Below are 15,526 nucleotides of genomic sequence, written 5' to 3' on the forward strand. Positions count from 1 at the left end.
TTATGTCTGTGTCTACCCGGGGATTAGCTCCCACTTAGAAGTGAGAACATGTGATATTTGGTTTTCTGTTTCCGCATTAATTTGCTTAGCATAATGGCCTCCAGCTGTATCCATCTTGCTGTAAAGGACATGATTTCATCCTTTGTTATGGCTGTGTAATATTCCAAGGTGTATACGTAGCACACTGTCTTTATCTAATCTGCTGTTGTTGGGCACCAAGGTTGTTTCCACACCTTTGCTATTGTGAATAGTGCGGCAATAAATGTACAAGTGCAGGTCTCTTTATGGTAGAATACTTTATTTTCCTTTGTGTATGCATCCAGCAGTGGGATTGCTGGGTCAAATGATGGTTCTATTTTTAGTTATTTAAGAAATCTCCAAAGTGCTTTCCACAGGGGCTAAATTAATTTATATTTCCACCAACAGTGTAAAAGCATTCCCTTTTCTCTGCAGCCTTGCCAGCATCTGTTATTTTTTTACTTTTTAGTAATAGCTATTCTGACTGGTACGAGGTGACATCTCATTGTGGTTTAATTTGCATTTCTCTGATGATTAGTGATGCTGAGCATTTCAAAAACATTTTTCTAGAAAGGCTATACAGTTTTCTAGGTTATGGCTAAGTCGGGATAGATTTCATCAAAGCCATGTTGTCAGATATTTAAGAAGGGTACTTGCTTCCCTGCATGCTTGTTTGTGTTTAGCGGAAGGCAGAGTCCGCCTCTGCTATGGGCAGACCTGTTTTATTCTCTACCCCTGAACCACACCCATGCCCAGATGTCATTTTTCATGAATGGACAGGTATAAGGGAGACTGTATCTATAAGCACAAAGTTTGGGGACCAGAACAGGTGGATAGAGATGGCAACATCATAGAAGTGGGAGATGGTGACAGGTTGGCAATTGCTCAACCCTGTCCCAGGCCTGACTTGAGCCTTAGTGAGTGAGAGAGAGCAAGAGAGAGAAAGCTGTTGTTAGGGCTTGTGGGACTCAGAACACAAGAAATGCCACTTTGGGACCTACGAAGAGGGTGTTTCCACTTCTGCTTAGCTGTGGCCTTGGGCAGTGGCCCTGACAGATAATGGCCATCATTATCATCTAAAATAGCTGCAGCAAAGGTAGACTCCTGTGTGAATCGGTGTCCCTAGGTGTGCTGCAGCTGGCTCACACTGGCACCGTGAGAGCCTTTGCAAGCCAAGTGTTCAACCATCAGGAGCTGAAAATCCACCACAGTGATGGGAGTAGCTATACTGTGGAAATCTACAAACAATACACATCAGGGCTTTTGTCTTTTTGGAGAGCTGTTTTGCCAGCACACCACTTTAGAGGATACACTTCAACTGGGAAACCTGAGGAGGTATTAGGAATGAAGGTGTGGACAGGTTATAGGAAACCACAGGGAACAGTGACCTAGGGGCTCGCAATGTTGGTTGAGGGCTGAGGGAAGGGAGCTCTGTCCAGGATCAGCAGGAGAATCTTCTTGAGAGGGGATGCTCCCAGCCTGGGGAGACCCTCAGGGAAGGAACTGGGGAATGGACTGCTATGCTCACTCTCCTGGAATGTGTTGATGAAAAAGCCAAACTCTGCAAATTATTTGAAGAGATTTGTTCTGAGCCAAATGTGAGGACCATGACCTGTGACAAGGCTTCAGAAAGTTCTGAGAACATGTGTCCATGGTGGTTGAATTACAGCTTGATTTTATAAATGTTAAGGAGACAGAAGCTACAGGCAGACATCAATGAATACACATAAGATTTACATTGGTTCAGCCCAGAAAGGCAGGACATCTCAAATGGGGATGGATTCAAAGATTTCCTGGTGGATTCAAAGATTCAAAGGTGGATTCAAAGATTTCCTGAATAGCAATTGGTTGAAATAATTAAGTTTTGCCTAAAGAGTTGAAGTCAACAGAAAGAACCACGAAGGGGGGTTATGGAAACTAAGGTTATTATTATATAGATGAAGCCTCCAGGTAGCAGGCTTCAGAAAGAATAAATGATAAATGTCTCTTACCAGACCTTAGAAGGTCTGATTAGACTCTTAGTTAAATCTCTCTGGGATGAGAAAAAGACTTAGAAAGGGAAGGGGAGTCTCTGCAGAATGTAGATTTTCCCCACAAATGACAACTTTGCAGGACTATTTCAAAATATGTCAAATAAATATAGTTTGGGGTTAAAATACTTGTTTCTTTCAGAGCCTGCTATCTGTCATGTGATGCTATACTACAGTCAGGTTGGAATTTGGTATTTATTACTACAAAGAGTCTGTTTGTCATCTTAAGACCTCTGTTTTAATGTTAATGCTGGTAAGTTGTGCCTGAATACCAAAGGGAGGAAGGTATTTTATTAAGAGGCATGTCCAACATCCCCTCCCCATTATGGCCTGAACTAGTTTTTCAGGTTTCTTTGAAATCCCCTTGGCCAAGAGGTGGGATCCATTCAGTCAATCAAGCGGCTTAGCATTCTATTTTTGGCGTACAGACCCTTCTGCAGACACCTGATCTCCTTTGGTTGAATCCAACTGGTAGACAGACAAAGAGCTTGTTGCTGCAGTCCCCAGTGATCAGTTTCCAGGGCAGAGCCAGCTAGAGAGTGAGGAGGGGTCAGGAGGGGCTTACATAGATATCAGTCCATCTCCCTGTGTATGTGGCTTTGGGACAGGAAAACTAGGTAAGAGCAAAAAAAGAGGGCTTGAGCACATGGGGACTCCCTGCAAATCCCCCAGAAATATTTGTAGGGGTCTGAAAGGTATGTAGGTAGGGACTCTAAACATTTGTAAGTCAAATTTTATGTGGCTAATTTGGAGCCCCAGGCTGGTAAGAGCTCAGGAAACTCAGGTTCCATAAACAGTGCCTCATTAAATATTCTTTGCATAAAATAGGTTGATGAAAAGAGTCAAACTCTGTAAAATATTTGAAGATATTTATTCTAAGCCAAATATGAGTGACCAATGGCCCATGATGCAGCCCTCAGGAGACCTTGAGAATATGTGCCCAAGGTGGTCAGGGCACATCTTGGTTTTATACATTTTTGGGAGACATCAATCAAATACATTTAAGAGATGGCTTGGTTCAGTCCAGAAAGGTGGGACAACTTGAAGAGGGGGCTGCCAGGTTATAGGTAGATTTAAACATTTTCTGATTGGCAATTGGTTGAAAGAGTTATAATCTATAGAAAGGGATGTTGGGGTTATAATAAGAGGTTGTGGAGACTGAAGTTTTATGATGCAGATGAAGCCTCCAGGAAGCAGGCTTCAGAGAGAATAGATTGTAGATGTTTCTTATCAGACTTAAGGTTTGTGTTGACGTTAAATGCTGGTCAGCTTTTCCTGAAATCCAAAAGGGAGGAGGGCATAATGAGGCATATCTGGACCCCTCTTTCCATCATGACCTGAACCAGTTTTTCAGGTTACTTTTGGAATGCCCTGGTGAGAGAAGGGATCCATTCAGATGGTTGGGAGGACCTTAAAATTTTATTTTTGGTTTACGAATGTTTGCACACTTTTTGTTATTTCCCTAGAATAAAGACTGGACCTCCAAGCCAAAATTCTAGGGCAAAAGGTTTCTACATTTTTAAGATTTTGGTATATATTTCACACCTTTTACCAGAATACCGATACCAATTCTTGTACTCACTGCTGGTAGAGGAGACTGGTTAATTTCACACATAATCACCAATTCTTAACACTCTTAAATTTGGAAATATGTGTCTTTTGGCTAGGTGAAAACTCTTTCATCTGTTTTTAAATTTGCTTTCTTTAGATTACTAGCAAGATTGTACAGTCCTTTATATGTTCATTGGAAGTGAAATATTTTATTTGTCCCAAATTGTGATCAGGAATAAATAAGAAGCCCCTGTTTTAGACCATTCTAACTGTCCTTTTTCTCTGGCAAGATTCAGAGGCCCAATCTTCATCAGCTGCTCTAAGTGGTTCAGGTCAGGACCGGCTCCAGGGGCTGAATGCCCCACCCCAATCCCTCCCAGCCTCTCAGCATGGGCAGGGGGTTTTGAGATTATAAACAGGTTATTCTGTAAACTTTCTTTGCTGAGCCATAGAATGTCAGCCCTCTAAGGGCCCTTAGAGGTCATCTAGGCTTGTTGCTGGAAAAGAGGGTCCTGATCCAGACACCTAGAGTGGATTCTTGGATCTCACGCAGGAAATAATTCAAGGAGAGTCACAGAGGACAGCGAAAGAAGCAAGTTTATTGGAAACTACTTTGTTACAGAGTAGGGCATCCTCAGCAGGAGGAGGAGCATGCCATCCTTTGTGAGTGTGTCTACTTGCAAGAAATTAGAAGGAGCTCTACACTTGGAATGTGTAGATGTGCTTACCAAAGGTAAGGGCTATTGGTGTTATCAATGACCATGAATCTTTTACCCTAAGCCTGCTAACCGATGTTATCTTTAAGTAAAATTGGCTGTACTCTTAAGATATCCGGACATTGTACAGGCTTGCTGGGAGATGCTCTGTATGGCCATAAATATTACATAATTATAAGTGGTGGTCAGCTTAGAATTTGGCTATTTTCAGACCATTAGCATTAACCTTAAACACGCTTTGTGAATGCCTGCCTGCTCACTTCAATATGGAGTCACTCTAGTCGCATTTTATTAAACCAGAGGCCTGGTAAACAGGGGTTTCTATAACAGGCCTACATGACCACTTTGTCCTTGAGTAATGTTTTCTATTTACAAAGTAATAGAGGTAAGTCATAGAGAACTTGATAATACAGAAAAGTAAAAAAGGGGGAAAATAAAAATCAATCAAGATTCAATATCCTGAGGAAACCACAGTCAAAATATTAGTGGATTATGTTCTAAAGATTGATACAAATCCTTTCTAAAAACAAACTTAGGAATATACTATACAATTTAAAATGTGTTCTTATTTTAAATAGAAACACTTTCCCCATTTATGTAATATTGCTTTTCAAAATACCAGTACTTCATGGCCCTATAATAGTCCATCATATAGATATGTCATAAAATGTTTTACTATTTCCTCTTCTGAGACATTTAAGCTATTTTCCAGGTTTTGCTATTATAAACTACTCTCCAGTGATGATCTGTTCATGTCATCTTTGCTCACCTCTCTGATTATTTCCTTCCAACAGGTTCCTAAAAGCATGATCAGAGCCAAAGAATATTAGCCATTAAAAGCCTCTGCCTCTTCTCTTTTTCTGGAAGCATAGGATCTGATAAAATACACACCTCTGTTCTGTTGGTGAGCCATGTGAGCTCAGACAGGTGCAGTGATTTGCCCAAAGCCACATAGCTTTGTTAGACCAGGGATTGGAATTCAGGCCTGTCTCGACAGCCTCTCGTGAGTGCCAGAACCCAGCCAGGAGTCCATGCTTCCTGACTCCTATGCCATATTCTTGCCTTATTCCTTGCATTAGTCCGTTTTCACACTGCTATAAAGATACTACCCAAGACTGGGTAATTTATAAGCACCAGAGGTTTAATTGACTCACAGTTCTGCATGGCTAGGGAGGCCTCAGGAAACTTACAATCACGGAGGAAGGAGAAGGGGAAGCAGGCACCTCTTCACAAGGTGGCAGGAAAAAGAGAGAGAAGCCCAGGGGAAATTACCATTTATAAGACCATCAGATCTCATGAGAACTCCCTTACTATCATGAGAACAGCATGGGGGAGACTTCCCCCATGATCCAATCACCCCCCACCAGGTCCCTCCCTCAACACCTGGGTATTACAATTCAAGATGAGATTTGGGTGGGGACACAGAGCCTAGCCATATCATTCCTCTTTGTAGAATATTTCTCCACTAGTGAGAACTCTCAATTACTGATCACCAACATGTGCCAAGAACTGTGCTAAGTACTTGAACTGCAGTATCTCATTTGATCCTGACCCTTTGAAGTGGTTACTGTGGTTATCCTAATTTTATAGATGGGGACACTGAGGTGGAAACACAGCATTTCTTGTCCAAGGTCATGATGTTAGTACCTTAGAGCCGAAACCCCCATTCCTTCTTGTCTGAGCAGTGTGGTCCAAACAGAACTTTCTGTGGTGGTGGAAATGTTCTATAACTTTAAGCCATTCGATACAATAGCCACTAGCTACCTATGGCTGTTGAGCACTTAAATGTGAACAGTGTAAGTGGAGAACTAAACTTTTAACCTTAATTAATGTAAATGGAAATAGCCACATGTAACTAGTGATATTGGATAGGTATCTCTGGAGCCTTAAGTTTCCCTGTTCCCTCCATCATAGCCTGACTCAGGCAGCTCTGAAGAGGGCTCCCCTACCATCCTTGGACCTCAGCCTGGGGTGGGACTCAGAATAGCCCTCCTAACACGCCTTGCTAATCCTGAGCCAGAGACTCTCTCTGAGCCAGGACCTTGTGCCTGAGACAGATTCTTCAGCTGCCTACAGGGCTGGCAGTCCCAGGAGCTACTTCCTGTGGGCATTTACAAAGACACACTGCAGAGAGAGGCTTTTTAATCCCCTTTTGTTACACATTAATGAAAATGTATGTCTGTAATCCATAAATAATAAGATTGCTCCTGCAAAGCTCAAGGTCTACATTTACACTCAGAGTGAATATTATTATGAACTTCACTAGAATCTTCTCTGGGAGTTCTCAGCAGAGCACCATCTCCCAGAAGACTCTGTCTCTAAGGAGGGAAGTGAAGGAGCATAAAAGGACTGATTTTTTAAAAATCAGCATTTAATCTGGGCACGGTGGCTCATGTCTATAATCCCAGCAGTTTGGGAAGCCAAGACGAGAAGATTGCTTGAGCCCAGGAGTTCTAGACCAGCCTGGGCAACATAGTGAGACCCCATCTCTACAATTTCTTTTAATGAGCCAGGCATGGTGGCGCATGCCTGTGGTCCCAGCTACTTGAGAGGCTGAGGTGGGAGGATGGCTTGAGCCCAGGAAGTCAAGGCTGCAGTAAGCCGTGATTTCGCCACTGCACTTTAGCTTGAGTGACGTTGAGACTCTGTCAAAAAAAAAAAAAAAATCCCTCATAATTTACTGAGTGCCTTCTTCATGCCAGGCCCTGCACTAGGCCTGGCACATGGCTCCCTACGGTACTTTCATAGAGTTGCTGTGACACAAATCACTACAAACTGGGTGGGTGGTTTAAAGCAACAGAAATGTATTTCCTCACAGCTCTGGAGGCCAGAAGTTCAAAATCAAGCTGTCAGCAGGCCCGTGCTCCCTCCAAAGGCTCTAAGGGGAAAATCCTTCCTTGCCTTTTCCAGCTTCTGGTAGTGGCAGGCACTCCTTGGCTTGTGGCTGCAGCACTCCAGGCTCTGCCTCTGTCTTCATGTGGCCTTCTCCTGCTCTGTCAGTGGCTTCTTCTCTCCTGTCTCTGATAAAGATACTTACTGTTGGATTTAGGGCCCACCCAGGTAATCAAAGAAGAGCTCAAGATCCTTTGTTTAATAATGTCTACAAAGACTCTTTTTTTCCTAATAAGATCATATTCAAGGTACCAGAAATTTGGACATGGACATATCTTTTGTGGGGACCCCATTCAAGTCACTATACTCATCTTATTCAATCTATATAACAACTCTGAGAGGGAGGTGAATTAGCCACGATGGACTAACTGCCGCAACCACCCCAAGGTTTTAATGGTATTATACAATAACAGGGCATTTCTAACTCGTGGGAAGTCCAATATGGATGTTCCTGCTTGGGAGGCTGTCCTCTAGGTGGTTGCTGGGGGAACCAGGCTTCTTCCATCTGTGGCTGCACCATCCTGTGGCCTTGAGGTCCCCCTGGAGTTATCCAGCAGGTAGACTGGGAGCAGGAGAGGCAGAGAGAGCATGTGAATCATTGAACATCTGATACACAGACACATTGGCCTGGAAGTGACATACGTTACTGATCCTTACATCCCATTGGTGAGGACTAGTCATGTGGTCTGCCCAGCTGCAAGGGAGTCTGGGAAATGTAGCCCCTGAAGGCTCAGTGGCTTCTCAGCATGAGTATCACACTCTTGGGATGGAGGCAGGGGGAAAGCACCACACCTTGTTGGTCAGCTGGCCACGGCTGCCACAGTGTCATTCATTTACTTATTCTTCATTCATGTAATTCATTATTTCACTCATTTTTCAGAAGAGAACTTTGAGGCTCAGGAAAGTTAGGTGATTTCACTGTCACAGAGCATTTAAGTCACAGTTCAATTATTATTTATTAAGGGGTGCTGAATTAGGTGCCCCTCGTTCACGTACGCCTGTTCCATCTTTGGATTTAACCCACTATATGATTTATCTATATGCGTGCCAGGAACATGATTGGTAAGACTGATTTACACCACCTCCCAAATTGTACTTTGGCTCTCAGTTCTCCTCCCTCTCTCATTTGTCCCTTTGGAGAATGGGTAGAGAGAGCTAGAGCTGGAAAGGCAGGAGGCAGAGAGGTACCAGAGATAAGAGCCAGAAAGGGAGGGGGTGACAGAAAGATAGAAAGAAACTCCACGTGGGCCAGATGTCCTAGAAAAGTTTTCCTAGTTTGACATGTATGGGATTTTGGAGCAGATTCAGTTAGGAAAGATTCAAGAGCAGAGGAAAAATACGAGAAACATAACTGAGAATTGTGAACATGATCTTCTTTTATGTGTTTATGGAAAAGCAGTGACTTTCTTCTGAATTTGTTTAAAGTCCTTTTGTGTGCTAGACTGTACATCTTGACTATGACCCCATACAGAGGGATGGGGCTGTAGGCAGCATGACCACAGGTCCCCATCAGCCATGGAAAGGCCCTGTTTACTCCTGTCATCTCCTTTTACTCTCAAATGTGCCCTAGTTTGAGTAAATGAAGTGGCCATCCTAACTTTGGAGGACAGTGGCTTTTGAGTGTATAGGTCTCCTTCCCAAGGCCAAGTGCTCCTCTGGGATGGAAGCCGTGGTCAGCTTATCTCTGAATGTTCAGGCATAGCTCAGGCCCTAATGCATAGCAGGTGCCCAAGAAATGAATGCAGAAGCCAGGAAGAACCGAACTATAGTTTGAGCTCAGGCCTTTACACTCCAAATGCCAGATTCCTCCTACTACGCCGGCTTTGGTTGAGGAGCTCTTTGAACACAGTGAAGCAATTAAAGAGTGACTCCTGGTGTGGAGCCACCTGCACTGCATACCAGAGGGATTCACAGAGGGGAGCTGCATATTGTAGTAGAAAACAGCTCCTAAGCTTCCCACTTCAGAGCCTGTGGGGAAGAAGCAGAGTGGGGCTGAGGACCGCCCTCCAGAAACCACTGTCTTGGTCCTGCACTAGAGCACATGGCTTAAGTCTCCTCCTGCATCTCTTGTGGGCAGGAGGCAGGGGATTATAATGAGGTCCTAACTCTGAACACAAACATGCCAGAGAGGTTTGAATTAGAACTCTCCAGAGAGGAAAATTAAGCTTCAGGTTTTAGTTTTTAAAATGTGCATTTATTTATCAGTGTAAATAGCTTAAGCACAGTCTTAAAAATTGGAAACTAATAAAAAATCATCTATAATTCTACCATTTAATAAATGTACTATGTGCATTTATAAATTTTTTTCCAAGATTTTTTTTTCCCTTTGTAAATGGTTTTTCTGTACATAGTTATCATCATAGGCTGTTGTATTGGTTATCCATTGCTGTGTAACAAGCAGCCTCAAAATGTAGTGGCACCAGATGCTCAGGATTCTGCTGAGTGGTTCTTCTGGGCTGGGCTAGGCTGATCTCAGCTAGGATCACTCATGTACTTGCAGTCAGTCGGTCCCAGGGGCCTCCCTTGTGTCAGGTGGTTGCCTGGCTATCATGGGTGACAGGCTAGTGACTATGCCATGTGTTTCTCAGCAGGCTAGACGAGCCTGTTCTCATGGTGACAAGATGCAGAAGCAGTAGGGAAAGCAGAAGCTGCAAGTCCTCTAGAGGTCCAAGCTTGAAACTCACACTGTCACTTACAAGCATTTGATTGGTCCAAGCAGATCATGAGGCTAGCCCAGACTCAGTGGGGTAAAGAAAGTTTATTTCTTGATGGAGGAACTACAAAATATTGTGGCCATTTTTGCAATCTATCAGGACTGCGTGAAGTTTTTTACCTTTCCATTTTTAATTTATTATCGCATTATGATTTTTTCCTTACTAATACAAAGGATTCATGACATTATTTGGATAGTAGACAGACTACAGTTTACTTAAGCATCTCCCAATTATTAAACATAAAGATGACTTCCGGTTCTCCAGCACATAAATAAAGCTGCATGGAACATCTTGATGCAGACAGGTATTTCTGTAATTTTGATTGTTTCCTTGGGATAGACTCCCAGAAGTGGATTCAACCAGGCATAAATGGTTTTTGATATTCTGATAAATGAAAGAAATATGGATTAAATAATACATATGCCAAATTGCCCTGCAAAATTATGCTGCTTTACCTCCAGCCACAGAGAGAAAAGGGATTTTCTTTTCTTTTTTTTTTGAGATGAAGTCTTGCTCTGTTGCCCAGGGTGGAGTGCAGTGGTGCAATCTCGGCATACTGTAACCTCCGCCTCCAGGTATCAAGCGATTCTCCTACCTCAGCCTCCCAAGTAGCTGGGACTGCAGGCACCACCACCATGCCCAGTTAATTATTAGTATATTTTAATTTTTTAGTAGAGACAGGGTTTCGCCAGGTTAGCCAGGCTGGTCTTGAATTCTTGACCTCAGGTGATCTGCTCACCTTGGCCTCCCAAAGTGCTGGGATTATCAGCCTGAGCCGTTGTGCCCAGCTGAGAAGAGGGATTCTCAGCAGCAGCCTGGACTCAGGCATCCTTGCAGGGCCTCCTGGCTTCTCTTGATTCATTTTGTTTTCCTGGTGCCTCATGCCAGGAAGCTGGAATGAAGCACAACTGGGCAGACCCTTCCTTGGGCAAAAGTATTAGTGTCTGTGGTCATTGTTCTCTGACAGTCAGTTCTGTGGTACATAACGATTGGTTCAGGCCCCTGTGATCTTCTTGTCCATGTGAGACTGGATGAGGAGTCTCCTGGACCAGTGATGGTAACACCTGCACCCTGAGCTGGGGAGCAGGTGGTATCACAGACGAGCTCCCATCCCAGGCTGGCTCTCACAGTCCCTTTCCACAGCTGTGTTACCAGCCCCTGCTCAATCATGTTTCCATGTGATTCTCATGGAAACCTTGTGTGATTGGCAACACCAAGATTTGTCCCACATCCAGATAGAGACTAGGGGCTAGAATACCTCTCCCCTGCCCGTTTCTCCGGGCTTGACATTTCAGCCAGACACCTCTTCCACTTCCTCAAAACTTATCTGTCTCCTCTTTTACTTCCTCAGTTCCTTGTTTGTCTAAAACACCAGCTAACTGATAATTGCATTTATAGTTACTATGTTTTCCTCCTAGATAACAAGCTTCATTGAAGATTTTCTAAAAATATTTGGCTCTAATATAAGGGAAATTGGGATCACCATGAGCAGTGAGTTGGTGGGAGAGAGATTGGGGGTACGTTTATGGAAAATCACGGATCCGTGGGTCTGGAAGTTAAAAGAGGACTGGCCCTTTGAGCAAATAAATGAAGAGTAAGCTGGAGAGCTTGTGTGTATAGCATTTGAGGGCAAGGGCTCTGGAGTTCAACACACTCAGCCTCAAATCACCTACCCATTATTGGTCGTGTAAATGTGGCCAAGTTACTTGACTGCTCTGTGCCTTGGTTTTTCCATCTCTAAAATGGACATAATAACCCATACAGGGTTATTATAAGGATTTTGACAAGAAATGGCAGGTAGCAATAATTACACCTACTGAATTTAAAAAGTGGCTCAGGCACAAGAGGTGAGTGGCCTGTTCAAGGCAGCATGGCCTGGAAGACCTTCAGCAGGGGCCAGTAAGCTTACTAGCCCTCATACCCAGGAAAGCGGTTTATTTCTCCTCCCACATCAGCATCCCTCTCTTCTTCCTATGTCGGCCCCAGAAGGTTCACACCCTCTCCCTCTTAGGCTCCTTCCTCATTCCGAGGCCTGGAGGGTCTTTGCACAGAGAGGAATCTGCTTCCTGCCTAGAGCTTGGAGAACCCCAGGCCTTCCGCATTCATGAGGTCCAAGGCCAGGCAGGAGGCAAGGCCATGGGCCCAAATCTGTGCCATGAGTGTCAACAGAAGATCCCAAAGCTGGAGACCCCAAATAAAAACCCCAAGAGATGTGGGGGCATCAGCTTCCTCAGACTCAACCCAGCACCATTCAGCAGCTTTCAAGACCAAGAAGTCCATACTGTTCTCTTGCTCGCAAGATACTCAGCCTATGAAATCCTCAGCTAATGGAGTCCTCAGAGCAGCATGGAGCCTTGGGGGTGATTTTGAGGAACTGACACTGGGAAACAGCCTAGGGTCTGTGGTGCGCATGGTGGGCAGCAGCCCTTGCCTGTCCACACCACGGACCAGCTAACCATAGACGAGTTAAGAGTGACAGCATGCTACTGCTAGCGGGGGAAGCTGCACGTGCCATGGTTAAGGACCCCAGGGCTGGGTCTGTGCCCCATCATGTTGCGTAACAAGAAAGACAAGGATTGCAGGTGCTTTCCCACAACTAAGGTGGGTGCAGCTGCTGGGAATGGGAGAAACATTTATAGATCTAAGGATGGGCAGGAATTTAGAAAGGTAAGGGTACTGTCTGCCTTGGCTGATACTTTTATTTCCTTCTATCCATAAGTGTAACAAAAAAATTTTTTTAAATGCTATGTAAAGATAGGGAGGTTTGAAATTTTTACCAACAATCCCAATCCTTGAACACAAAGACTATTATCATATTTGTGACTGTTGAATATTTTTTAAAGACATGTTAATACTACAGGGAACTGCATTTCTATAGAATGCACTTTGGAAAGCATTGCCCTACAGTATTTATAAATTTCAGAACACATTTTAGGATCTGCCTTGTGTTGTTTCTGTCATCATTTTACATTTGCTAGTCTTGACTTCCAACCACCCAACACGCTTCCTGAGGGCAGGGCAAACTTGGACATTATTGACAGAACAAGTGCCCAATCTGAAAATGTGTCACATTCCTGCTCAGGTTCCAAACATGTCATAGCGGATTTATGGGTGTAAATTATACTGTTTGCTCAAAACACTACCTCATCTTCAGTGGCGTAGTGACAGTGACCTTCAAACTATGGTGGCATCTTAGCTATAGGGGTGTCCCTCAAAAAGCATGGGCTTTGTTGAAGCACAACTTACTCTGCTGTGTGACTTAAGTCAAATAGCTTAATCTCTCTCAGCCTCAACTTTCCCACCTGTAACCTGGGCAGGATAATAGTTTTTAGCTTCTAGAACAGATTAAGGGTGGTAATATGAGTGGACCATTTAGAGTAGCTCATGAGATAAAACTCAAATGCTAGCTGTTGTCATTTGGCTGTTAATGTTATCTTGAAATCCCACAGTAGTCAATAGTGGATGGCATTAATTGGAGGAGGGAATTGTTAGATAAAAGATGGTTACTAGATGATAGAAGGAGATTCAAATTATTGACTGGCAGAGAACTGTTTATGGAAGAGTTCTTGGCTCGTAAGAGCCTCAGTTAGATAGAGCAGGGCCATTGGAGGGAGACCAGTTGCTTGAATGCAAGCTGTTAATCCTCAGGGAATCTCCATGGCTCAGCCAGATCCTGGTCTGTAATCTGCTCTCACCACGGGCTGACTGAATGAGCTCATTGTCATGTAATTTAATAGGAGCCAGGTGTCTGTGATTTCCAAGAGCGTGAGCAGAATCATCCTGCACCCCAAACTAGGAGGGGGAAAAACACCTCGCAGAAGCACACTTGTCCCTAGCTGCTTTCCATGTGTCAGACAGAGAGGAAATTGTCCAATTCCAAATGCATTCCTATCCTTCTCGGGCGATGAGAGAAAGTAATTGGCATAGTTTGAGTGAAATGAAGGTGGTGGTTTGGGGTATTTGGTATTTCTTATTGGCATAAAGGAAAACTTGTATTTTAAATACCCCCTGGCTTCTTGAAGAACGCTTTCTCTGCTGTCACTGCGGCCCTTGTCAAAAAAACCTTAGCTGAAAAGAAAAAAGAATGCACAGAAAAAGAGCAGCAGAGTGAAGGCTCAGTCAGGCGGTGGGTCTTTTTGCGTGGGTATTTGAAGGAAGAAGGAAGGTGCTGGAGGGAAAGTCAGGCTGCTCTGGAAACATTTCAGTCCTGGAACACCTGGTCTCTAAAGGTGCCATCAATAGCACACACTCCCCAGGCACTGCAAAGTGGGCAAGCAGGTGGGGTTTGCCAGTGAGCAACCCTCAGGGCTGCAGAGGCGGGAGGGGCAGTACGGGGAGAGGCTCTATTCTAGGGACCCAACAATCAGTGACTGTTCATCTCCAGACTCAGCCTGATTACTGATGCACCCGAGCTCACACAGACCTAAGAGGCAGATCCAGGATGTGAACACTGGTCTGGCTGATGCTCAAGACTGTGCCATTCCTCTGCCCTCATGCCATCTCCTGAAGTTGAAATCTCAAACTTGGCTGTGTCACCACTGTCCTCCTTGGCTGGGAGTGGGTTCATAATTTACAAAAATCCATCAGGACACTCCCCTGGGACCACCTGCCTTCAGGGTCTTGAGGCCTCAAAAAGTTGCCCTCAGGGATTAGACCTGGGGTCACAATGTGTGCAATGTGGGTGTGAACTCATGTGTCCAGTTGCTCTCAGCAAGCCAACAAGTTCAAGTCACTTCTCCATCCCACGGCTTTGCTCTTGTAACTTGGGAACAAACAGTACCCCATGAATAAGTTCACAGAGGCAGGGTTGTGCAGTAGTGACACGCACAGGCTCTTGAGGCAGTCTGGGTTCCAATCCACCCCTGCCACCAGGATCGCCATGTAGGGTTGTGTGGCTTATGGCCCGTTCCAGAGCTCCAGGCCAAGATGACAAGGGGGGCCCAGCCTGTGCCACTCTACTAAGCCATGGTCCCTGGAATTCCACCGACAGCAGGGTGTCTTATGCCAGTTCTACAAAGTATTCACATGGGCGAGGCCTGGCCCTGTGTGCTGCTAAGAGCTGAGGAATTTGGTTGAGTTACATACCCTCAGTGTGCCTCAGTGTCTTTCCCTGTAAAATGGGCAACATAATGTATTTCTCCTCTGGGTTGTCATGAGCATTCAAGGGGTTAATACCCAGAAAGAACTTAGATCAGTGCCTAAAGTCTGGTAAATACTCAAAAACAAGTAGTAAATATCTAAGAGGCTAGCTGTTAGCATTTGACTGGCATTTTTAAGTGTGTTTTGCTAAAGGCCAAATCTGAATCCATAGTGTTTTCCAGTTTTATATGATTTTGTTCTAAGATCCAGTGTAACTATCAGGAATCCTGGGCAAAGCCATCAGAGTGCTGTGAGCCCCTGCCAGCCATCCCGTCTCATCAGCCTGCCCTGTGCAGGGCCTCCTGAGTCCCCCACTCAGGGGATCACAGACACAGTGCAGGGCCTCCTGGGTCCCCCACTCAGGGGATTGCAGACATAGCATGGGTGCACCTGGGTCCCCCACACAGGGGATCGCAGACACAGTGAAGGTGTACCAGGTCCCCCACTCAGGAGATCGCAGACACAG

General features: G+C 44.6%; 1 protein-coding gene and 1 long non-coding RNA gene across 4 annotated transcripts in view; both read left to right on the forward strand.

Moving 5' to 3' along the window:
• The window catches only part of KCNIP1 (potassium voltage-gated channel interacting protein 1), a 383,146-nt gene that overhangs the window by 41,306 nt on the left and 326,314 nt on the right, over positions 1 to 15,526 (forward strand). The window lies entirely within an intron of this gene.
• Positions 1 to 15,526, forward strand: part of KCNIP1-OT1 (KCNIP1 overlapping transcript 1) — a 33,352-nt gene that overhangs the window by 5,300 nt on the left and 12,526 nt on the right. The gene's annotated exons all lie outside the window — the stretch shown is intronic.

This window comes from Homo sapiens, chromosome 5 (genome assembly GCF_000001405.40).
Source record: "Homo sapiens chromosome 5, GRCh38.p14 Primary Assembly".
Lineage (NCBI taxonomy): Eukaryota > Metazoa > Chordata > Mammalia > Primates > Hominidae > Homo > Homo sapiens.